At 46.7% G+C, this 25,679-nt stretch overlaps 1 protein-coding gene and 2 long non-coding RNA genes across 3 annotated transcripts in view, besides 2 other annotated features; all 3 read left to right on the top strand.

Moving 5' to 3' along the window:
- Positions 1-6,887, top strand: part of LOC107985038 (uncharacterized) — a 51,924-nt gene extending 45,037 nt beyond the window's left edge. The window contains exon 2 of the long non-coding RNA XR_001752840.2: positions 5,507-6,887. This is a non-coding gene — a long non-coding RNA (uncharacterized LOC107985038). The remainder of the gene's footprint in view (positions 1-5,506) is intronic.
- The window catches only part of ASIC2 (acid sensing ion channel subunit 2), a 1,143,682-nt gene that overhangs the window by 214,440 nt on the left and 903,563 nt on the right, over positions 1-25,679 (top strand). The window lies entirely within an intron of this gene.
- On the top strand, positions 9,683-11,199 carry LOC124903983 (uncharacterized). Its single transcript, XR_007065719.1, has 2 exons — positions 9,683-9,729; positions 10,952-11,199. It is a non-coding gene; the product is annotated as an uncharacterized LOC124903983 (long non-coding RNA).
- Positions 10,825-11,119: an enhancer, noted in NCBI's record as "tiled region #12358; K562 Activating DNase matched - State 5:Enh". NCBI's record gives its function as "activates a minimal TATA promoter and a strong SV40 promoter by Sharpr-MPRA in K562 cells {active_cell/tissue: K562}" and the evidence as "EXISTENCE:reporter gene assay evidence [ECO:0000049][PMID:27701403]".
- Positions 12,816-13,317: an enhancer, noted in NCBI's record as "NANOG-H3K27ac hESC enhancer chr17:32256031-32256532 (GRCh37/hg19 assembly coordinates)". NCBI's record gives its function as "activates a minimal SCP1, AML or CMV promoter by ChIP-STARR-seq in primed H9 embryonic stem cells {active_cell/tissue: H9 hESC(primed)}" and the evidence as "EXISTENCE:reporter gene assay evidence [ECO:0000049][PMID:30033119]".

Here is a 25,679-nt window from a genome sequence, read left to right as displayed (position 1 = left end):
CTACTTGGGCCTAGGAGGGGTTGAGTTCCCCTCTTCAGCATGAGAAGGAGGTGAATAGTGATGCTGCTGCTGCAGGAACCCACCTATCAAGCTGTGACTGTGACACTTGGATTCCCCAGCTCTCCAGGGGCTTTCAGGCATTGCTTAAGTTACTCCTCGCAACTTTGGTACCTTTTCTGCCTTCTCCCTTCTTCCCCAACTGGCGACCTCTCATCTGTCCTTGGAAACTTGGTCCAGCTGTTGTCTCTTCCTGCAGCCTACTCAAAGCACCTAGCTTCCTGCCAGTCTTGTCCAGATACCTCGTTTATTTGTTCCCGGTACACGTATATTCTAGCCCTGAAAACGCTCTGTGGGAATGTTGTGTTATATATCTCCCCAACAACACCTGCCTTCCTAGCCTGAGTTGCCCCGGGGTGGTAGTAACAGCAGCCAAACAGCCTTTCTCTGGCTTAAAGTGGAAGCTGCAGGCTCACAGCAGCATCCTGCCCTGTCCTGGTGCAAGTGCTTTCTGATTTCAGACTCCAGCCATGAGCAAACCTCTCTCTTATGTCCCAGGCAGAAGCACAGGGGATCCCCTCCCAAACTCCCTTTGACCTCCTTTTCATTCCTTTATTCTTTCATTGCTCCACTCTGAGCCAACATAGATAGAAATAGCCACTGCTCTGTGGGCTGGCCTCTCTCTGGACCACTGCTGCTGTCCCAGTTTCTTTGCCCCCAGTGGAGAAGATGCTGAGCCAGAGACCCCCAGCTCCCTCTATCTACTTCCATTGGATATAGCTGCATCTCTAAGTCTGGGACTGAGAGCAGATGATGTCTCTATTGGCCTTTCTCTTGGGGTCCCACTTGGGATGAGCCACCTGGGCTCCAGGATGCTGCTATGGATAAGGTGGGGTTCCTTTTCAGCCCTGGGGAAGCCCCTGGTAGTGCAGTACGGCTGCCTCCCTTGCAGTGCCTGCACCCTTTTTGCCACCACTCTGGGTTCATCCTGCAGGATCCCACTGGGATGGGGCAGATCTGAAGCTTTTCTTCTGAGGGCGTCTGGGAGAGGGATGATCTGAAAGACTCTCCTGTCTGTGTGGGCTGCAAGTGTCCTTCCTGCTCATCCCTGAACCACTCACTAGGACTCCCTGGCAGGGCTGGAGGCTCGTCTGGCCCCTCATGAGTTTCCACCACAGTTGAGCTCACCTAGGCTCCTGCACTTAGACTCCTAACTGGTCATGCTGCATCAGCTCTTGGCCCCTCATTCTCCACTCTGCACAACATCCAGGAAGATCTTTTCCTGCTGCTCATCTGACACTGCCAGTCGCTGCCTGAGCACTTAGATAGTTCTTCACCGCACTTAGAATGGAATCTAAACACCTCAGCCTGGCCCTGGAGGCTGTGCTTGGCCTCAGGCCCACTCCGTCTGGGCTACAGCTGCCCTGGCTTTCTTTCTGTTTTCTAGGGAGCAGGCCACGGGGCGGTCATATGCCCTACAGTGCATCACCACCATCCTTTGAGTCTCAGGTCAAACACCAAGCTTCTCTTGACACCCCAAGACTAGATCAGATCCCCCATTGTGTTCTTTAAAATACTCTGTGTTTTGCTTAACAGTCTTGTCTCAATTTGCAAAGATTTGTGTATTGTGATTATGTGAGAGATAACTATGTCCCCTGCTAGGATCCAAGCTCTGGGAAGCCAGGAACTATATTTTTGTCAACTGTTTTATCTCCAGCACTGTACCTACTACAGTGCATTGTTGTGTTCAATTTAATGTGTAAGGAAGGAAGGAAGGAAGGAAAGAAGGAAGGAAGGAAGGGATGGATGTGGAGTGAAGGAGGGAGGGAGGGGGTTATGTATCACTCATATCTGAAACCACAGTGCAATTTATCCATGCTCTGCCTTTAGGCCCACTGTGGGGTCCTCAATCCTGAGATTAGGCCTTGCTCAGTGAAGAGCAGCACTAGATGATAGAGATGCTTCAGGGTGATCCCTCTGGAAACTGCTGTTGCAGCTGGATGGCACAGTCTGGCCAACCAGCTTCTACAGGGAACCCAGAATATGTTAAAGATTACCATAGAAATCATGGAGTGAACCAGTCTGAAGTCCTCACTCATGATAAGCCCAAGGGCCAACTTACTGGTTAGGTGGGGACAGGAAGTGGAATAGAAACCTTATGATCCTCGGAGTTGGGCACGCTGCCTAGTTAGGGTTGTTTGCTGACCACATGACCTTGGACAATGGCTTACCTAGAGTAGCGTATTGCTCTCCTAGGTCAAGGTGAGAAATTAAAGGAGAGGATGCATGAGTACGCAGGGTAGGCCCTTTTCTCCTCCTTTTCTTTCTTTTATCCCTGCCATTATTCACATCCAAATTCTCAGGAGTCACCTTGATGAGATGACCGATACCCTGGCCTTCCTCTGGGCAAATAAGAACCCTGGTCTCCTCAACAGTAACCAGCAGCACCACCTTTCCCAAATGCCCTATTTACAACTTGTGTCTAAAGGGAGCTACTGCAGCAGGGACAGAAATCATGTGTCCCATGAGCCAGATTCAGAGGAAAGCATTGCTGGCCACACCCCTGCTCTGCCGTGGGCAACAGTGAATGGACACCTTGTTGCCACAGCGGTCTGGTTCCAGCTGCCTGCTCACCATCCTGTGGTACTTCATCCCAGCCCTGGAGTCCACAGTGGGTCACACCAGCTCTGTGGAATTGACTCCACTGTAGAAATCCAGTACAGCCAGTTTGTCTCCAGGATTTGGAAGAGCCTGCACTCTGTAGTGTGCATTTTCTTGATTCATTCACGCTCTGTTTGCTTTTTATGCAGGGGATCCAGGGAATTAGAGGAGTCTAGTTCCAGGCTTTCTCAGCTGACATGCTTTGTGACCTTAGATAGCCTCTTCCCTTCTCTGAACTTCAGCTCTCTTCTAAAAAACAAGAGATTGAATAAAAGAAAAATCACCAGGCCTAGAGCCAAGAGATATTGTTTCTAGTTCTGATTCAATTTCCAATGGGCAGTACTGCCTTGAGAATGTTACTTGACCTCTCTGATTCGTTTTCTCTACTGCACAGGGCAATTGGGGGGATTAATGAGATAATCATGGCATGACTCTATATTGAATATGAGGCAAACGGGAGATGTCCTTGTGATATTTAAGGAAGCTTATAGTTTTACTATCTTGTGACAACAGCTATGGAGAACAACAGAAATTTCTGTCCCATCCCATGTCTGGGCAGTAAGAAGGGGTGAGGCCCCAACAATGGGCTGGCAGGGACCATGAAAAGTAAGCCTTCAAAGGAGGACCTAGGCCAGCAGGAACTGCCTGGGTGGGAGGGCTGGCCCCGGGCAGTGCCCACAGAAGTTATAATAAGCACAGTCTGTACTGCATGGTTATTGACCCCGGTCAATGGGGAGAGAGCAGAGGCCAGAGTCTGAGCACAGAGGCACTTTCCAGCAGGGATGGTCCAATGATCAGGTTGCCACCTGGCATAGTGGGTAAAGACCCCAGCCTCCCAGAGTCACTGAGGCAGGGAGACAGCCATGCAGGAGGCCTCTAGCTGTCCCCTCTCAGGCTTGGTGGAGGTGGGTAGAGGGTGAGAATTAATTGAGCACCTACTGATGGCCAGCTCCTAGGCTGGGCACTTCCCAGGCACTGCATACACAGTAGCCCTCCTGGATCAAATCCCACTTCCACCCTATGCTAATTGTTTGCCTTGGGCAAATAACTCTCCATCTCTAAGTCTTCCATTTCTCCCTTGACAAATAGAGCTCATCTGGAGGAAGTTGTGAGGATGACTGGAGATGATACAAGGGAAGTTTATCAGAGTATTAAGGACAAGTGCTTTATAAATCTCAGATATTATTACTGGGAATATAGGGAACATGACACCTTTTCCAGAAGAAGGGAGCTAGTAGGAGCTGGTAAGGGTTCAGAGCCCTCACCAGCTAAATGGACTGTCACCAGAGTCTAGCCATGGTGGAAACAGCCTCTAGCGTTGGTGGGAGGGAATATCAGGGACATTGGGTGTGGTAGGGGGCAGTGAACTTGAAGGTGGATAAGGAGGGAGCCCCCAGCTGAAGAAATCAGGGGCTCTGGTGCTGGCCCAGCTTCCTACTCCCTGATCCCCAGTAACCCCTTTTTGTCCCGTTTAGGGCATCCCTCCAAACTCCCAGACCTTGGCATAACACAGGGAGGAAAATATAAGATTCAGTAAAGGAAGCCCCAGGCAGGTATTTAAAGTTCAGGTAGCTCAGAAAAACCCTCCTGCCCTGGGGCTCTATTCAAACCAGGCCAGAAAAGGAGGAAATAAACTTAAAGGCTCTCACTGATTCTTCCCAGGAGATTTAGGCTTGTTCCCTAGGAAACTCCTTTCTTCTTTATCCAGGACTCTGGAAACCCCAAGTCATCAGTAAGTTAATGGCAATGTTGCCCACAAAGGACAGAAATTGCCAGCCCTAAAAGTCATCATCTGCTTTGTACCAGAAGCCTACTTCTGGCAGTTTGTGCTAAGAGAAAAAAAAATTTTCTAAAAGCAGTGGGGGAAAACAAACAAACAAACAAAACTCTCAATGAATTAAATATCCGTGGCTCTTTGCTTTTAGAAGACTGGACATTTGGAAACTTCATGAATACCTGGCAATGTGGATAGGGCTGGCTAGGGAAATCTCAGGACAGCCATTAAAAATATGTTTATACCAACATAGGAAAGTTTGTGATAGCCTTAAGTAGAAGAAACCAGGAAATGACATTGAATATTGAAAATGACCTTACCCACTTAAGGAGTACTCTGCATAGAAAAAGGAAGGCATGCTATGAAATGTTAGTAGAGTCACAAGTGATTTATTTTTCTTCTTTTCTCCAATATGCTCCAGTTTCTCTGTTAATGAGTATACATTACATTCTGATGGGGAAAAAAAAAAAAGAGCTCTGATTCAAAAGAGGCATTTTCAGCCGGGCATGCTGGCTCACACCTGTAATCCCAGCACTTTGGGAGGCCGAGGTGGGCAGATCACGTGAGGTCAGTTTGGGACCAGCCTGACCAACATGGCGAAACCCCATCTCTATCAAAAATACAAAAATTAGCTGGGTGTGGTGGCACGTGAGTGTAATCCCAGCTAATTGGGAGGCTGAGGCAGGAGAATCACTTGAACACAGGAGGCGGAGTTTGCAGTGAGCCAAGATTGCACCACTACACTCCAGCCTGGGTGACAGAGTGAGACTTCATCTCCAAAAAGAGGCATTTCCCAGCAGGGATGGCCCAGTTGCCAGTTGCTAGGCTGGCATAGTGGGTGAAAACCCCAGCCTCCCAGAGTCACTGAGGAAGGGAGAGAGACAGACAGGAGGACTCTAACTCTCTCCGCTTGGGCTTGGTGGAGGTGGAGGGTGGGAATTAATTGAGTACCTACTGTGTGCTACCTCCCAGGCACTGTACGCACAGCAGCCTTAACAGACAGCCATTTCTAGTCTTGCTGTACACATGAGGAAACTGAGGCTTAGAGCGATGTGTTCATGCTTGTCTCTTCAGGTCACATGGAATGATGGTGATCGATATAGACGTGATCTCAGAGTTCACTCCCTCATCATACAGTGGAGGAAACGAGGCCCAGGGAGGGGCGGAACATTTTTCCAAGTCATACAGCAAGAACTCAGAGGCCTCTTGGTTCCTGCTCTTGCCTTGAGGTGGTTCTGCGGGGCGCTCCAGAGCCCCCAAGAAATTCTTCTGAAATTCAGTTCTCCACAGGACACCTGGGCTCCTCCTCTGTCCTCCCAGCCCCTCACAGAGGAGTAGTTTCCCTTCTGGCCTGCCTAAGTCTGTCTTGTCTTCTGGACTTCAGTGGCCACCATGGACCTCCCAAGCTTTCTCTTGGGCTCTTCCAGTGCCGACCTCAGCTTGGCTGCCTCACACTCTGTCTGGTGGGCACTTACAGGAGCCATGTCCACAGACCACCTCGCCTGGGCTGTGGAGGCCCCGTTCTGAGACCACGTGCAGTCCAAAAAAGGAAGCTAAAAGGGGTCAGAGGAAAACATCCCCGTGTAGGGTGAGGGTGAATCTCAGTCTCCCTGTCAACTCTCTTTATCCTGACATCCAGAATTCCAGACCTTTGTGGGCACTGATCCCTGAGACTGGGCTCTTTAAGCTCTTTCACTGATCCCTGGGGTCCGAAACTTTCAGCTTGCACTTTGGTTTGGTAAACCACTGACTGTCCTACCAAACGCCCCCGCACCCCACAAACTCAACCTGTGCTCTTCATGTGCTATCTCCTGTTCGATCCCCACACTGACCTTCTGGGTTAGGGACTTGCATGTCCCCATTTTATAGATGAGGAGCCTGAGGCCCAGAGAGGTAAGTCACCTGCCCAGTATCACACAGCCTGAGATTGGCAGAGCCAGATCTCATGGAATGAGAGCCCTGTCTCACCTCCCTAGAGACAGAGCTTAATTGATAACTTTGAGTTGATACTGAAAGGTCACAGGAATTGCAGCAGATAAGGTGTTCTGAGGAACTGGCTCTCTAGCACCTGTGGTAATTAATTCAGTATCCCTTTTTGTGTCCCAGAGAAGCACAGTGGCTAAAGCGCACAGCACAAGCTTGGAGATCAGATGGACATGGCTTCAAATCTCGTCTCTGCTGTTTACAAAAAGTATGACCCCAGGAGAGGGATTTATACCCTCTGAGCTGTAGTTTCCTCATCCACAATGTGGGAGCAGGATTTTAGAGGATACCGAGAGATTAAATGAGATCTTTCTTATAGAGTCCTTAGCAAGGGGCTTGGCACCATGGATGGTAATATCATCATGATGATGCCAGGTATTTTCATTGCTATTCCTTATTATTCATCAGTATTTTTATTCATTGCTATTGCTGGTTGTATTCATCATTAATAAATAATAGCATTGTTTATTAATGTTATTACTAAGTTCTCTGCTATGTTCTGGGGCTCACAGATGAATTACACACTGTCTTTGCTCTCTGAGAGTCCCAGCCTGGAGGTGGGGAGAAGCCCCTTGGCTAGTGGGCTGATGATAATGGCTATGATGGCACAGCATTCTTTTCTCAGTAAGAGCAACTGACTGTCCGAGGGAGGTTATACAGAAAAGGTGACATTTGAGTGGGTTTAAAGGATGACTAGGAGGTTTGGGGGCTGAAAAGAAAGGGCAGGGTGTTCCAGATGTAGGGGGCAGTGTGTGTAAAGGAGCACAGAGGTGGGAACGAGTGTGACATGATTGTTTGGGGCAGGGCAAGCATGCCAGCATGGCTGGCGCTTGAGGCTTGCAGGCAGGGCTCACAGGGATGGTGCTGGACAGGCTGCCCAGGGCCCTAGACAGCCAGCTTCTGGGGAGTCTTGCCTGCTGGAAATAGGGATCCATGGTCATTTGCATGTCAGTATGTATGAGGACCTTTCCAGCACAGTGGAGAATGGGGTGGCAGAGGGATGGAGCAGTGGGGAGTATGGCACTACAGGTCTGTGAGAATTGATAGGAGCTGGAAAGCTTGAGGGGGAGGGACAGGTTTGAGAAAGATTAGGCAAGGAGATAGAAGTGACTCTGTTTGCATGTATGGGCACCCATGTGGGTGTATGCAAGTGTGTTGGAGATAGGCTAAGGTGGAAAGAAAGCATGAGATGATGATTTTGAACTTTCTTGATTAAGATGACAAATGGGTTTCACTAGAAGCATCTGTGGGACTTACAGACTGAACTCCCCGGTAGGCAATGGGAAATTGGCAGCATTGGCCTTGCCTCCTCCAGGGTGTCCTCCTTGCATCCCACGGGGTGTGTCAGGTCCTCCTCGGTGCCCACGGCCTGTGCCCTTGAGAGTTGCCTTCATTCCAGCCTGGATCCTGCTGGGTTTTAATACCTTGTGGACTTGTCAGCCTTTCCACAAAGACTATGAACTCCCCGAGACCAGGGGCTATATCTTCTTCATTATTCTATCCTCAAGGTGTGGCATCATACCTGGCACACACAAGTGCTTGAATCAATGTTGCTAAAGTAACAAGAAAATGCAAGTTTGAGTTTGGAAGTCAGAAGAGAAGTCGGGCTGGCCGTTTCGAACTGGCATTACTCTGGGTGAGCAAGGAGAAGGCTGTGGCCTCAGAGAATCAGCCCCCGAATTGCTAAGCCATAATACTTGATTTCCAAATTGTCCCCTTGCAGGTGAGATCACAGGGCAGGCCTGCCGAGAATGTGCTTCCTGGGAAGTTCAGCTTCTCAGCCACCGTGACCTTCTGTCTCAGAAGGGCTGATCTAGGGAGCAGGAATTAGTCTGTTCAATGTGCCCCCAGAAGTCCAAAACTAGAACAAGTGTCTGAAAAACATCAACTACAAGAAAGTCGCTGCTGACCCGAAAGAATCAAATACGTTCTGTTGATTAAAGTGAACAGAAAAACTAACAGCTCGGCTGCCTTGGAAGGAGTGAGCTCCTGATCTTGGGATGTGCCCAAGGGGCAGGCATGAAAATCTCCTGCAGCTCTGAGGCTCTAAGGCCTGTTTCGTGCATCTGGAAGGACCTTGATTATTGATAGCCTGTCTAGGTTGGCCCCACGTGCCTCCTCAAAGGATTCTGTGATGCCGGAGTATGAACGAGTGAGACCTCACACCTGCTCTTTCCTTTTAATCCTGACATCTGTTTCCCACAGGAAATGTCCAGAGCAAGTCAGAGTGGCCTTTTTCTCTTGGTTTTATTTTCTTCCCTGCTAAGTTGGTCCTCATCCCCTGGATTAGGGCACATTCCCAGTGCATGAGGTCCTAGAAGAGGTGACTTCCCAGGTCACCCAGCCACTGTCCCTCACAGCTCGGTGCAGTCGCTGAAATCAATTCCTGCTCTGTCCCGTACTCACCTCTTTCCAAGCCTGAGCTTATTCATTTGAAAAATGGCTGAATCTCATTGGCCTTGCAGCATTGATGTTTGTGTTCATTGAACAAGCATTCTCTGAGTATCCAGTATGTGCCAGGCACTGCGGTGAATAAAAGAGACAGAGGCTCCCTGTCTGGAGGAAACAGAAAGTAAACATGCAATTCAATGTCAGGGAGTAATAAGAATTTTAAAGAAAAACAAAGCAGGGTGAAGGGATAGTGATTGGTTCTGACTGGGATTGAGGAAGTGAATCAGGGATGGCTTCTTTGAGGAGGTGACTTTCTAAGCATGCAACTGTCCAGGGGAGAGTGTTTTAGGCAGAAGTAACAGCATGTGCAAAGGCCCTGTGATGGGCATGGCTGGCTATGCTGAAAAGCAAGGTCAGGTTGACTGGAGCTCCAGGAGACATACGAGGGTGGGAGGACATGGACCAGCCTGTGCAAGGCCTCCAGGGCCTTAGAGACCTCAGAGGTCTTGAGGAAGGAATCAGAAGGAATCAAAATTTAGAAAGTTTTGAGCAGAGAAGTGGCAGAATCTTTGCCTTCTTGATCTTTCTCATTCCTGCTCTTCACCCAGAGTCTCAGCTGTAAATCTCTAAACCTCTGCAGTCTAAAATGCTTCTAGGACAGCATTGCCCAATAGAAATTTAATGCAAGCCACAAAGGCACTTTTAAAGTTTCCAGTGACCATATTTTAAAAATAAAACAGGGGAAATTAATTTATCATACTATATATATATATATATATATTTTTTTTTTTTTTTTTTTTTTTTTTTTTGAAACAAAGTTTCGCTTTTGTTGCCCAGGCTGGAGTGCAATGGTATGATCTTGGCTCACTGCAACCTCCGCCTCCTGGATTCAAGCAATTCTCCTGCCTCAGCTTCCCAAATAGGTGAGATTACAGGCATGTGCCACCATGCTCGGCTAATTTTGTATTTTTAGCACAGACAGGGTTTCTCCATGTTGGTCAGGGTGGTCTCGAACTCCCAACTTCAGGTGACCTCAAGTGACCCGCCAGCCTCAGCCTCCCCAAGTGCTGGGATTACAGGCATGAGCCACCATGCCTGGCTTTTATACTATATTTTATTTAGCCTCATATATCCAAAGTATTATCATTTCCACATGCAATCAATATAAACAATATTCATGACATATTTCACCTTTTGTCATACTGTCTTCAAAATCTGATGTGTACTGTACACTTATAGCATATCTCAGTTTAGACCAGCCATGTTTCAGGAGCTCAAAGCCACATGTGGCCAGTGGATACTGCATTGAACAGAGAGCTCCTGCAGCCTGGGGTGGGGAAGACACCAGGTTCCTCTGCAGGAGCACCTGGTGAAGGGAGAGAGAGGGAGAAAGAACCCATTCCAGATCACCCTGGGAAGGTGGCGTTGGAATTGACCCTGCCTATTCTGGGGAACCTACCTGGCCTGGCTCAGCTCCCTCTTGGGAAGCAGAGAGGATATAAATTGAGCCCAGAAGTAGAGAGGATATAAATTGAGCCCGACAGACCCAGCATGGCTCTCATCTAATCAGTTCTAAGACTTGAATAAAGAGCCTTTTTAAAGGTCTACTGGAATCAGCGCCAACATTACTTTCTTAAAGGAAATGTTGAGAACGGCCGAACAGCGCTCATTCCCCATGCAGTTTTGAGTAGATACACTCCACCACCTCCCGCTCTGAAACTGATGGAGCCTGGCCCATGTTCAGAAGGCCCTTCTAGCTCATAAAGAGGGATTCAGCAAAGCAGTCCTTTTCCCAGACTGCACCTTCAGGCTAGCTGGTGGCTTAGAGGAACCTGAGAACACTCCCAGTTGACAACACACAGAACAAGTGTTTGATAAGCTGCTGTCAGCTGCCTAAGAGAGCTTAAGGGGTGGAGAAGCGCTGTGCTTTGCTAAAGCAGGGATACCAGCCCTCCTTTGCATCAAGCTAGAGGTAAGGGAGGAGACCACCCCTCATATTGTCTTATGACCAATTTCTGCCTCAAAGAAAAAGTAGGAGTTAAAGAAAAGACAGAAGTGAAATCAGTAGTCAGACAGCCCGGCGCTGCATTTCAGGCCTGGTAGTTAAAAATCAACCCCTGACTTAACTGCTTGTGTTATCTATAGATTCCAGACATTGTATGGAAAAGCATCGTGAAAATCCCTGGCCTGTTCTGCTCTGTTCTGATTACCGGTGCGTGCAGCCCGCAGTCACGTACCCGCTGGTTGCTCAATCGATCACGACCCTCTCACACGGACCCCCTTAGAGCTGTAAGCCCTTAAAAGGGACAGGAATTGCTCGCTCGGGGAGCTCGGTTTTTGGAGACGTGAGTCCGCCGGTGCTCCCAGCTGAATAAAGCCCTTTCCTTCCACAACTCGGTTTCTGAGGGGTTCTTTTCTGCGGCTCATCCTGCTACATAGGAAGAGATGCAAAGTAAAACTGCATCAGTCCCAGCTGCTAGAGAGGCTGAGGCAGGAGAATGGCATGAACCTGGGAGGCGGAGCTTGCAGTGAGCCGAGATCGTGCCACTGCACTCCAGCCTGGGCGGCAGAGAGAGACTCCGTCTAAAATAAATAAATAAACAAACAAACAAACAAACAAATAAATAAATCTGCACTAGGCAGCCAAAGAAACAAGGGAGTTGTAAAATCTGGGCCCCGGCTCTCCCCTGGCATCCCCTCCACCACCTGTGGGTCTGCTCCATTTTCCTGCTGGCACCAGCTGACTCCCTGGACTCACACATGGCTCCTGTACCCCCAGAACTCTGGCCCACTGGGGCCACTGCCAAGCTCACTTCGACACACCCCTGCAGTGCAGGAGCTTCATCCCTCAGGGTAGAGAGAGAAGGAACTGTTATAGTGGTACTTCTCAGCACTTTTACCTGGCTTCCTACAGGGAAATGATACTTTTGTTTGAAGCAAACTTTATTGTGTTGCTCACAGCATGAGGCATATTCACAGACAGCGATGGTGGGATGGTGGGCCCAGGCTCTGGTCTCCAGCCCTTATTCTACTACCTGAAGCACGATGGGGACTAACATCTCAGCCACTGAGATCCTGGATAGAAAATCTTAAAACAAACTGAACCAGGGTTGTGAAAGGGTGGCACAGTATGGAATAAGAACAAGCTACAGGTGAATTTCTAGAATTCTGTCCAGAAAGCTTGACATAGACAGTGACATTCTTCTTACAAATATACGGCCTTTGAGGCCCAAATGAAACACAAAAGGAGCCAGGTCAGACAATTTCTTTCCAGTAATTCCTGAAATACAACAAAGGCAGGGGAAACCCGTAAGTGATAGAGTCCCGTTTTCCCTGCTTTGCGGATAAAGACGAATTACTGATGTTTGCAGCCTCGGTTACCTAACAGACTTTCAGACTTCTATTACTATTACTTGCTGCAAACTTCTATTATCACAAGTTTTCTTTTACTAACCTGAACAATTGTAGAAGACTAAAGCAAAAAGTTTGTCCTGTACAGCACCCATCGACAGTGAGGCCTGCTGTGCTGGTTTGAGAGTCTTATAGCCATGACGCCCACCACCAGTTAGCAAAGTGGAGACCAAGAAGTAGCTTGTTATGAGCCAAGGGCTCTCTGTGACTGTGTTCACAAGCAACCACACCTTTTCAATTCTGATATTGTGAAGCCTTTTATCGTATATTTTCTACTTCCCAAGCTTTGTAATAATACAGGCACTAGATGGCACCCCCTGAAGCTTAGGCTATTTTGGCTAAGGTGAAGGAAATGCTTTGCACGGCAGGCAGTAAACCTAGAGATGGATTCACAATGAATTAATAGGAGACAGGAAGGCCAGAGTCAGGGCACCTCCTCCTTGGACAAGACTGGCAGGACAAAGGGCACTTCCTGTCCTCCTGAGGCTGCTGTCAGAAGAGAATACTGGGCTGACCCTGCAGCGGGATCTTCTGCTCAGAGCCCACGAGATTTGTTGTTGCGTTTGCGTAAGTGGGGATCTCAGCAGGGAAGCCTGTATACTCTGAAATGCTTCAGAGCCCCAGAAGGTGATGAATGCAAATGCAATCCAGGGCTACTTGGTGAACGTTGAATTAACTGTAGAAAATTACCTAAATGAGGTTGGTGAGTGAAATGTAAATGAGCCCAGGCTCCGCAGGAGCTAAGGAAAGGATCACAGTGGGAGACACAGTCAAGTAGGAGGTTGGGAACTTGGGAGTGAGCACTAACCTAATGTAGAAAGCCATGTAAACAGCTCGGTCGGGGGCAGTGGCTGGGAGGGCAGGGCAAGGCAAAGGGGCTGGCGAGCTAACTGGGGAACAGAGCTAATGAGGGAACAAAACAGTGGAATGGTGAGCTGAGCCAGTCTCCTGCAGATTCTGACCATCCAATGGGGGGTCTGAGGGGAGGCAGAGATTCACTTACTGAGGCAGTTTAGGCCCCAGCAACTCAAATAGCGTTCTTGTGCACCCTGGTTAAGGCAGTGCTATCTGGTTTGAGTAAAAGCATGCGAGTGGGTGGGTCATGATAAAGATGCCAAGAAAGAAGAAGGAAAATTTCATGAGAATCCAAGAACGAGCGCCTCCCTACATGCAGACCTCCCAGAAACGGGCCAGGAGCAGGAAAGGCTGATGTTTGCAGCCTCGGTTACCTAACAGACTTTCAGGCTTCTACTACTATTACTTGCTGCAAACTTCTATTTTGCCTGGTTAGTCCCTCAGAGTCTCATCTCTCCCCTGACATCCCCTCCTCCATCTGTGGATCTGCTCCATTTTCCTGCTGGCACCCGCTGACTCCCTGGACTCCCACATGGCTCCTGCACCTCGAGAACTCTGGTTCATTGTGGCCATTGCCCAGCTCACCCCCATGTACCCCTGAAGTGCAGAAGCTCCACCCCTCCGGAGCCCTGACACTACATTTCCAAGAGAGGGGTCTGACAGGCACAGTTCATCTTTTGAGGTGAAGCTCAGAGCCCTTGCTTCCTGCCCAGTCTATGGTTTGGCTGCACTTGGGCCAGCTGTTGACCCTAGTCCAACCAAAGAGTGGGTCATATCATAAAGAGCATAGGTGTAGAGGATATGGGAGGAGGCATGGGTCACCTTAGAGCAGTGATTCTCCACAAAGGGTGGGAACCACAACAGAGCTGCACAGTTCTGGTCAGCTTTTACCACCCACCCCTGAAGTGCCCCTGCCCCCCACGCTGCAGAGTCCCTGCCGTACCAGGACACTATGCTGGTGGGAAGAGGCACAACTGTCCAGCACATTGAGTTAGAACACCAGGAGAGCACCTTCGAAAGGTCGCCAATGGGCAGCAGGGTGGCATCTCTGAAATAACATGGGTTTCCATGAACCAGAGCAGGTAGTTCTGTCTCAGAAATGCAATAATTGTGGTTTTTTTCCAGTTGGCAGGGGGAAAAAAACCAAAAAGCTAAGACAGAAAAGCCTCCCAGTTAAGCTTTTCTCCCATATGTTTTTCTTAAACCTTTGGTGCCTCCTACTGTTTGCCTGCTGTCACTCACTAGAGGATGACAAATGAGCACACAATTAGCAAAATTAGCGGACAAATATTATCAAACAGCTGATACCTCTTGCCTAGATTTGAGCTGTTGTTTGTGTGTGAGTCAACCCATGTGTTAACGGCTGTAATTTGATATGGCTTATGCATAACATAGTCATATCTAACTGATGACATTGCTTCTGATTCTCAGGGGTAGGCAGGGGAGGGCAGGAACTGTGGAATAAAAGCAGCGAAACTGATTTGACTTTCTGGGTTTGATTCACTGCTTCCCAACTTGCTGAATGACACTGGGCAAGTGATCTAACCTCCCTGAGCCTCAATTTGCTCATTTATGAAATGGCAACAAATAATAGTGTCTTAATTCTTTTGGGCTGCTCTAACAAATACCATAGATTGGGTAATTTATTAACAGTAGAAATGTATTGCTCACAGTCCCGAAGGCTGGGAAGCCCAGGATCAAGGCAGCAGCAGATCAGGTGTCTGGAAAGGCTCCCTCTGTGCTGCATTGATAGTGCCTATTGCTGTGTCTTCACATGGCAGAAAGGGTGAAGCAGTTCCCTTCAACTTCTTTTATAAGAGCACTATTTCTGTTCATGAGAATGTAACCCTCATGGCTTATTCACTTTCCCAAAGCTCACACCCAGCTCTTACTACCCTCACATTGGAGAGTCAATTCTTCCAACATAAGAATTTTGGGAGGACACCAGCATTCAGACCTTAGTGAGTGATCACACAGGTTGAGCATCCCTAATCTGAAAATCCAATATTCAAAATGTTCCAAAATTGAGGCTAGGCACAGTGGGTCATGCCTGTAATCACAGCAGTTTGGGAGGCCAAGGTGGGAGGATCGCTTGAAGCCAGGAGTTTGAGACCAGCCTGGCCAACATGGTGAAACCCTGTCTCTACTAAAAATACAAAAATTAGCCAGGCATGTTGGCACATGACTGTAATCCCAGCTACTCAGGAGGCTGAGACATGAGAATCTCTTGAACCCAGGAGACTGAGTTTGCAGTGAGCAGAGAGATTGTGCCACTGCACTCCAGTCTGGGCAACAGAGCGAGACTCTGTCTCAAAAAAAAAAAATCCAAAACTTTTTGAGCACCAAGATGACAGTGCAAGTGGAAAATTCTGTGCCTGACCTCATGTGACGAGTCACAGTCAAAATGCAGGCACACAACAAAATGCAGGCACACAGTGGCAGGTAATCAGCCTGCCATTGTTTGCTATTGCTCTTGCTTAATAGCAGATACAGGTATTCTGGTGATGCTACTGTGCTGCTCGGTTACCCCGAATACATGATTTTTCCCACCGTATTAATGGTCTGTCCTATTTTTTACTCTTAAGTACTTATGCATGAATCAGTATAAGAAAATGGTTGCTTTAGGTAGCATCAAAATTCAGAGTCAGGAATAATGGTGGCACAAAGCAACCACAGGTTGTCCACATGGGTGGCTGAGATGGTGACACCCTTGCTTTCTGATGGCTCAGTGTACACAAACTTTGTTTTATGCACAAAACTATTAAAAATACTGTATAAAATTATCTTCAGGCTATGTGTATAAGGTATATTAAAACACATATAAATTTTGTGCTTAGACTTGTGGCTTATCCCCAAGATATCTCATTATCTATATGCAAATATGTATTCAAAAATCCCAAAAAAAAAGTTCAAAATTCAAAATACGTCTGGTCCCAAGCATTTTGGATAAGGGAGACTTAACCTGTAATACTTCCGCAAGGTTTTTGTGAGGATTAAGTGAACTACTCCATATAAAGCACTTAGTACAGTGCTCAAAACATAAAAATAGGGTGACCTACATTTGTATTTTTAGACCTCTCAATTGAATTAAATAACAGTATTTTTGCTTCTGTAAAGAGGACACAAACTTTCAGGTACTCAACCACCTAACCGAGTTCAAGAACCCCCTGACTTCGATGATAGTCTATGGGGCTCCCAAAACATCACTGCAAGAGATCTACTAATGTTAACAGTGATTATTTCCTGTATTTGGATAATAATTTATTAGAGTTAGAGCCTTCTGCATCTAAAAAAAGTCTTGTCATTGCGGGGCACATACACATTTTGTGACTTCTTAAGATCTTTTAAATATTGCTATAGCTCAGATCTTCCACTGGCCAAAGAAGTATTGTGAAATCCAGTGGCCACCCACGCAGCCTTGGGTAGAGCAGGGTGGAAAAGGGGAGTGACAGTGCTGTCAATGGATTGCAGCCTCCATACCATGGGCACAAGAATGGCCAGGGCAAGTCAAAACTGAACCCCAGTCTGGGAGGATTTGGAAAGTAGACACCCAGAATTGGATTTAGAAGAACCTGGGCCATGGAAGCAGAGCTGCCCCAGCCATGAGGGGAACGTGGTGCCCAATCCCAGAATGTGGAGTGGGGGATCCTCAACCCAACCTTTCTAAGGTAGGAGTGGGGCTTTGAGGCTGAGGTCACACTGGGCAGCAGACGAGGCCACATGGCCACAGTTATCGGGAGAAGAGAGCTATTGTGACTTGCACCACACTCCCCTGAGAGGTCTAATCCCCATTCTGCAGTCTTGGAAGAAAGAAGCTCTATGTGGCCTTCTCCTTTGTTCTGTACACCAGAAGCAGGGACTCAATGGTCATTTGAATGCTATGGTCCAGTGATTTCTGGGTTACCATTGGCCTTCCCTGGAGGGGAGGACGAGAAGTGTCATGCATGGGGTGCCTTCAGTGCATTTTGCGCTTATATTCTTCTCCTCATTCAACCCTTGTGCAAGTTGGTATGGAGATATGACCACCTCCCTCTTACAGATGAGAAATGAGCATTGGAAGGGTTAAGGAACCAGGCAAAGGTCACATAGCTGGACTTGAATCCAGATCTGCTGCCTTCAACCCTTTCTCTGCCCATGCACTGGAAAGGCCTGAGGCATCAACCCTGCAGCATGGTGGCCAGAGAAGCAGGGAAGGCAGGAAGCCCAGCCCTGGGTACACTGGCCCTGAGTTCTTCTGCTCAGCTGAGTATAGAGACAGTAAGCTGGGAGGTGGGCATGATGGATCTCTGACCTCTGACTGCCTGAAGTGTAGGGGTCAGGAGGCACTAAACAAGAAGTGACTGTCATGGCATGTGTCTGCATGGTCATCACGAAGCTTGCTCTTCTTCCTTCACTGCCCACCACACCTCTGCAGAGTCTGGGTTCCAGTTGAGGGTAACTTAGAATGACAGGGTGCTCACTGGCCCAAGGCCACAGCAGCAGTGAATTGAACAGCCCGAGACAGCAGGCAGCTTTGTCCAAGCACATATGGCCAACCAGCACTTGCATCCTCTCTCTGCTGTCCACAATGCCCGGATTAAATCAAAAATTCCCATAGGAAAGGGAGAAAATGGGATGAAGGGAAAGATGACAGCGTCTCCACAGTTATCCACTTCACACTAGGCAAGTTCCTAGATATCTACGGGGAAATAGAATTTTGGGAGGTGGAAATTTGACTTTAAGTTCTCTAGAGAGGCTCCCAGTTAAAGGAAGTGTATGGCGAATGCTTTCCTAGCATGAATGCATTTTCTCTGCCCTCTAATTTATCCACTTTGTAGTGCTGAGAGTTTTGTCAATGTAGTTACTGCCACACCTGGCGGACTCCATGTGTTCTGTTTCAGACACCATCCTGAGCCCCTGGAGAGCAGACTCTGGCTCCTGCTTAAGCCAGCAGAGCAAATGGGTGTGGCTGCTTTGCAAGCCCGCTCTGCAAGCCTCACTCCAGGGTTGGGGAGAACCCCAGGAGGAGCACGCTGGGCTGTTCCTCACAGCGCAGTGCAGGAGAGTCAGGTATTGTGAGGTTCCCACCAACAGTGGTGACAAATGCCATTTATTAGGGGCTTTCTTGGCCAGGCCATGTGATAAGCATTTTGTAGACTTGCTCTCTGACCTGCCCCATAAACCTGAAACTTAGATGTTTCAGCAGATGAGGAAACAGAAATAAAGAGAGGGATGGGAGCAGGGGCCAGGGATTCAGACCTGCTGAAGATCACACAGCTGGTGGCAGTGAAGCTGAGATCTGAACCTGGCCCATTCTGCCTGTGAGTCCGGGGCTCTCTTCCCTGTATCTTCTGCCATGTAGTTGCTGGGTGGGCATGAGGTAGGGAATGGAGTCAATGGTGAAGCAGGAGTCTAAGACTCAAACTCCCTGTAGTCTAGCATGGGCTGAGAACTCAGGACGCCCCTCCTCCCCTCTCATACTCTACTATCTTCTTTCTGCCCTAACTCACACCTCATTGGTGGCTTAAGAGCATTTTTACACCTGTTTGACATATCAAACACTTTCCAGAGTTCCCTTTCCAACTGACATTATTAGCCAGTGATCCCTGAACCCTGAGCCCCACTCCCCGGCCCCACAGCCTCCTTCTATAAACATGGAAAGTGTATAAGAGAGAAATCATTTTCCCTATAAATAATTGTAAGGTCCAGCCACAAGGAGAAGCAGTGCATTTTGCAGAACTGCTGTGCATTCTGAGTTCAGCAATTTGTGGCCCAGACTTGGTAACCTGTTTCTTCCTTGTGGTCTCTTCCTTGGTAACCTGTATGACCCTGAGAAGTCATTTTATTTCCATCTGTAAAATGAGACCCTTGGACTGGGTGATGAATAAAGTTTCTTCCAACAATATTAGTTCATAAGTTTCATATAAATGTGGTTGGGTAGATGGACAGAACAGTCAGCCTTGAGAACGGCAAATATTTCTCAAGCTCAGGCAGTACTTGTTCATCAGCCTGTCATCTGCCAGGAGCCCTGAAGGTCTGAGAGGAATGGCCTCATTTTCTCTTTTGGCACAGAACTCTGGCCAGCACTAGGGCATCACCCATTTTCCATCTTCTGCTGGTAGACGTTCTTGGCAGAAAGCCACTCAAAGCCAAAGAACTCCCGAGCTCCAGGAATCCCGCAGGTTCCATGTGCTCTTGCTTTCCTGTTTGCTGGGTAAGCTGCTGTGGTCATCAGGCTTCCCCACTAAACCTCTCTAGGATAGAAGTGACATTGCAAAGAAGGGCTCCAGCATCTGCACTGGTGCTTGGAGCTGGAGCAAATGCGCTCTAGAGGACCCTTCACAGCATCTGCCACGCAGCCTAGTGGGTAGGACAAGAGATCCCCAGCCAGCTGAGATAGGAAAAATCAACATGATCCTCACCCTGTCTAATTCTTACACTTGCCATTCGTGAGATGGTGGCATATCAAGGTTGAGAACATGTGTGTTGGAACTCTGGGGTTTAGATGCTTTGCCTTTGACCAGCAGTAGGAAAGTTTGTTAATAGAACAAATCCTCAGTTTTCACAGTGGAAAATGGGGTGGGGTTAGTATTGCTATCTATCTCCTAGAATTGTTTATAAATATAATGATATTATATGTGTAAAACATATAGTATAGAGCCTGATACATAGTTCACATTTGTAGAATGTTCATTATTTTACTGATTCATCAACATATCCATGTCTCTCTCCACCTTATAGAATTAGAACGTTCGCTCCTTGAGAACAGGGATCTTCTCTGTCTGAGTGACTGCTGTATCTGTAGCACCTAGAACAAAGTGAGGCGGTATTTTTGAACAAATAGGATTTGCCAGGGGGCAAGGGTTTTTCTGAAATGCTGGACTTTCAGTCTGAAACCAGTGAGAGGTCTGGGTTTGTAGAAATAAGTTGGTTATCCTACAAAGAAAAGAAAAGGAAGGAAGGAAGGAAGGAGGGAGGGAGGGAAGGAAGGAGGGAGGGAGTCCTCACCTTACAAATGAGAAAATGATGGGACAGAGAATGTATTGAACTTGTCTCTGACTCCACCACTAACAAGCAGCCGAGCAAGGATTCAATACTGGTCTTAATCACCAAGTCATAATGGGAACTGGAGAAGTCAGCAAAGTGTTAACACTTTGCTCTGTCACATTGCCAAATTCCTGCCCGACTTGGTCTCAGTTTCCTCACCTGTGAGATGAGAGACTTTGACAGTGCAAAGTGGCCCTGGACCAATGAGGGGTGCATGCCTGAGAATGTTCCCAGGCCCGTCAGCTGCTATGGGCAAACCCCAAGCACCAATTCCATTGTTAATCATTTTCAGCATTGCTCTTGGTTGGTTGGAGGTAGGGAGGGGCTGCTTCAAGAGAGAGGGAGGCAAAGCCCATTTGATAATATTCACTCCTCCTTCTCCTGGGAAAATTCCCCATAATGAGCTTAGTTTGAGCCATTTATCTTGCAGACTTCCCACCTTGTCAGAGATGTATGCCAGGTCATCAGGACTGAATGCACTGTGGTCGTAACTCCCCATCTAAATTCCAGAGTCCATTTTGCACAAGGATCTTTAAGACAATTATCTTCATCTTTTTCCCTCCTTAAATACTGGAGTGTTTTCCAAAATTAACCAGCACAGAACCTCTCTATGGAATTCTCCACGTGCACCCCACCTACCTCTCTACTCCTCTGCCCCAGTCCTGCCCCACCATCCCTCCAGGACGCCTCACTTGCCTTCTGTCCCATGTCCCAGCTCCCCTTGCCTTGAAGCTCCTTGGAAATATATGGTCTGTTACACTGTTTTGGCATTCCTCATGCATGATCCCATCCCCTAACCAAATTGCATATCCTGCAGAAATACTACTAAAAACAATGATTACAAGTTATATGTTTTCCATACTGTTTAATCATTCAGTAAATAACAGGTATCATGGTAGGACCTCTGCTTGCATTATTTTATTTACTCTTCACATCAACACATCAAAGTAGACATCATTACACTGGTTTTATAGGTGAGGCTAAGAGAAGTTAAGAAACATGCCCCAAGTCATACAGCTAGTAAGTGAAGAGTCTAGACTCAAACTCAGGTCTCTCTGACTTCATGCTATCAACCATTATACTCCTCAACCCTCTGTGGGGAGGGTCATTTAATTTCATGACACAGCGAACGTGAGACACAACAAAAAATAATAAGTGCACAGTGACATTAGCTAACATTTATTAAGGGCTCACATTAAATAAGGCACTACTATAACAGCTTTCTATGTATTGGTTCCCTGAATCCTCCCATAAACTTTATGAGTTATGGACACAGTCCTCTGTTGAAGACTGGACTTCTAGGGCTAGGACAAAAGCTGATGATGAGGGTCCCTCAGGGTCCCTGGAAACATGCAAGGTGAAACAAGTGTCTGGGGATGATGTTGTGTGGTGGGGGCTCCTGGAGGCCCTGGACAGCCCTGAGTGGCTTAATGGTTTGCATCAGGGCGACCACAACGCCTCTAATAAGACCACTTTGGCCCAGAACAAAGGTTTTTAAAAAAATATATAATTTCAACTTTGATTTTAGATTCAGGGGGTACATGTGCAGGTTTGTTAGATGAGCATATTGCATGACGCTGAAGTCTGGGGTACAAATGATCTCATCACCCAGGTAGTGAGCATAGTACCCGATAGGTCATTTTTCACCCTTTGTCCCCCTCCCTGTCTCCCTTCTCTGGTAGTCCCCACTGTCTATTGTTCCCACCTTTGTATCCATATGTACCCAATGTTTACCTCCCCATATAAGTGAGAACCTGTGGTATTTGGTTTTCTGTTCCTACATTAATTCACTTCGGATAATGGCCTCCACCTGCATCCATGTTGCTGCAAAGGACATGACTCCATTCTTTTCTATGGCTATGTAGTATTCCATGGTGTATATATACCACATTTTCTTTATCTAGTCCATCTTTGATTGGCACCTAGGTTGATTCCATGACTTTGCTATTATGAATAGTGCTGCAGTGAACATACAAGTGCATGTGTCTTTTTGGTAGGACAATTTATTTTTTTTAATTTTTCCCTCCACAAGATTCTGATATAATAACTGTTTATTTTCATTTGGATATATACCCAGTAACGAAATTGCTGGATCGAATGGTAGTTCTTTGAGACATCTCCAAACTGCTTGCCACAGTGGCTGAACGAATTTATATTCCCACCAGCAGTGTATAAGTGTTCCCTTTTCTCTGCAGCTTCACCAGCATCTGTTGTTTTTTGACTTTTTAATTATAGCCTTTCTGACTCGTGTGAGATGGTATCTCATTGTGGTTTTGATTTGCATCTCTCTGATGGTTAGTGATGTGGAGCGTTTTTTCATGTTTGTTGGCCACTTGTTTGTCTTCTTTTGAGAAGTGCCTGTGCATTTCCTTTGCCCGCTTTTTAATGGGGTTATTTGTTATTTTCTTGTTGAATTATTTAAGTTTCTTACAGATTCTGGATATTAGGCCTTTGCTGGATGCATAATTTGTGAGCATTTTCTCTCATTCTGTAAGTTGTCTATTTACTCGGTTTATAGTTTATTTTGCTGTGCAGAGCGATTTAGTTTAATTAGGTCCCACTTGTCAATTTTTGCTTTTGTTGCAATTGCTTTTGAAGACTTTGTCATAAATTATTTGCCAAAGGCAATTTCCAGAATGGTATTTCCTAGGTTTTCTTCTAGGATTTTTTTTATATAGCTTGAGGTCTTACATTTACATCTTTAATCCATCTTGAGTTAATTTTTGTATATGGTAAAGGGTATGAATCCAGTTTCATTCTTCTGCATATAGCTAGACAGTTATCCCAGCACTATTTATTGAATAAAAGGTCCTTTCCCCGTTGCTTCTTTGTGTTGACTTTGTCAAAGATCAGATGATTGTAGATGCATGGCTTTATTTCTGGGTTCCCTTTTCTGCAGAATAAAGGTTTTCATGTGTGGTGAACAGCAATAGGGTTTTTGGGCTCATCAGCGACTGGACTCAGACAGGAATCCTGATCTTGGAAAAATCATAGGCCAGGCAGACACCTTTCCAGGACCACCCAGATCCAAATCTGCACCTTGTTTGTAACCCTGGAAGGAACCCAGGGTCCTGGCAGAAGGTCTGAAATGGCCTGTTCTTTCTTTCTCTTCCATCGCCTGCACTAGCATTGCCCAGGGAGCTAGATAGCCAGTCTCCAGCCCAGCCCTGCTCAGGAACTCTGGTGGGGCAGGTGGGGATCATGGCACACCCCCCAATCCTTCACCCCAGGTCATCACAAAGCAGGAGAGATAGACTGCCCATCACGACCCTGAGACCCACTCTTGTTGGCAGCCAGGACTCCTAGGCTAACTCAGCACCAGTGTCCTGAGACCCTTTGGGAAATCCATGAAGACCAAAGTTTCTTCCGCATGCATGACTCATGTACAGTAGCATTGAGAGTTTACATGCCTGTGATGCCAGCTTCTCCAGATCAAGCCCTTACTTCTAATACAGGTTTTGTAAAGTAAATGCTATGTCTTAATCTCATTTCTAAAAACTAGAATCCTGTTTCCTTAACAGCTTCCATGATCAGTGAAGGTCTACCCTCTTTTCCTTTCTAGAAAATTATTAATGGGCAGTAGTTTCTTATAATTCTACTTTTTTGTTATTTCTTTAATTTCTCCCAACCCACAGATCTTTTCCAGGGTGGTGGTTGATAATTCATAACCAAGTTAAAATGAACCTGAAGAATGTGTTTAAAAGAAACTGCTGGAAATATTTTTTTAACTTTTCAGGCAAAGAATCCTTTTTAGTACAAAAAGCTAGCCCTGAGTGATGCATTGCTTCATACAGGTAAATGCATACTTAGCTGTAATCAATAATCACTGTCTTAGTTGTTGGGGATGCAAGGATAAATAAAACAATAAGAGACTTTACAATTTTATTGGGCAGACAAGTTACAAAGCTAACTTTTTTTAAAAGTGGAAAGTGCCAGGTGGAGATTCATATAAGGTGCTTTGGGAGATCAGAGGAGAAAAAGATTACATTAACAAGATAATCAGCAAAAGATTTATGGGAGGGTTTCATTTGAAAAAGACAACAAAGGATAAACAAGATTTGGCCAAGCAGAGTTGGAGAGAAGGATTTTCCTGGAAAAGGAAACATCATAAGTAAAGTCAAGGAGGTAGGAAATCATGGAAAAGGATGTCGTCCATCCTTACTTAAGCACAAGGCACAGGAAAGCAAAAATAATATTGGGAAGGCAGATTGGGAATGAATGAGAGTTCACGTTATTCAGTACCTGTGTGTGTGTGTGTGTGTGTGTGCACATGCACGTGTGTGTGGAATGAATGAGAGTTCACGTTATTCAGTACCTGTGTGTGTGTGTGTGTGTGTGTGCACATGCACGTGTGTGTGTGTGTGTGTGTGTGTGTACCGGGCTTTATGGTCTGGTAAGCTAAACTACTGGATCATAAGGCCCTAGAAATATAATATTCATTTTAATTTTGTCTTCCTCACAATGCCTAACACAGTGTCTGACACAGAGGAGGTGCTATAATTAATGTTTGTTGAATTATATTTATTTTATTCAAAAGTCAAGGTAATCATGAAAGTTTCTGGGGAAATGAGGTTTATTATAAGATTTTCATTAAAAAGACTCATTCATGAGAATAGATTAAAGAAGAAGAAACCGGAGTGTGGAAGACCATTCAGGAACTATTCAGTAGGTTATTGCAAGGAAAGCAGGAACAAGAGTGGTAGCAAGGGGAAGAGAATGGGTATGGTGTTGAGAAATATAAAGAGAGAGAATAGAAGATGATGGACCTGGAAACTGATCTGGGTGCAAAGAATGTGAAGGGGTTGCAATGACTTCCAGGTTTCAAGCCTCAGGGACTGAGAAAAGAGAAACCTCTAGCAGAGTGAAAGTCAAGAGGAGAAGCAAGTTTGGGATTGAGGGTTCTGGGGAAGATGGCGCTGGGGAGATTTAAGGCACGTGAGGCCTGAGGCCCTGTTGGGACACCCAAGAAGAGCATGATGTCTGGCACATTGTAGGGAAAGCAAAATTGAAATCTCCAGAGGAGGGAGACTCAAAATAGGATACAGCAGAGTGCAGGCCAGAACTTTGGAAAATACCAACATTTGTGGGGAGGAAGAAGAACTGGAGAATATGTGATTAGAAAGGCAGGAGGAGCGATGCAAACAGCCCAAGTCAAGGGGAATCAGGTGAGGGGACATGGAAGGGAGCAAGTGTGGGTCAGTAGTGGGCTTGTTCAATATGGTAGAGAGATGATGTCTTCAGGACCACCCACACCACCACTCACCAGTGTCTGCCAATAGCATCCAAAGAACTACTGCCATTTCCTCAAAGCCTGCCACATACACTTCCCACAGCAGCCCCATTTACAGATGAGGAAACTGAGGCCTAGAGCAATGTGTAAGGGCATAAAAGTAACAAGTATGGGAACTGGGTTGTAAACCTGTGGTTTGGGTTTTGATCCTTCCCCTCTTGACTTTCACTCCTCTGCTAGTGGCATCTCTTTGCTGTCAGTCCTTGAATCCTGAAACCTTGAAGTCATTGCAACCTCTTTGCATCCTTTACCCCCAGATCAGTTTCCAAGTTTAGGCACTGGGTCATACTC

Source organism: Homo sapiens, chromosome 17 (assembly GCF_000001405.40).
Source record: "Homo sapiens chromosome 17, GRCh38.p14 Primary Assembly".
Classification (NCBI taxonomy): domain Eukaryota; kingdom Metazoa; phylum Chordata; class Mammalia; order Primates; family Hominidae; genus Homo; species Homo sapiens.
The sequence above is the reverse complement of the archived record's forward strand: the minus strand, read 5'-3'. Positions and strand labels throughout refer to the sequence as shown.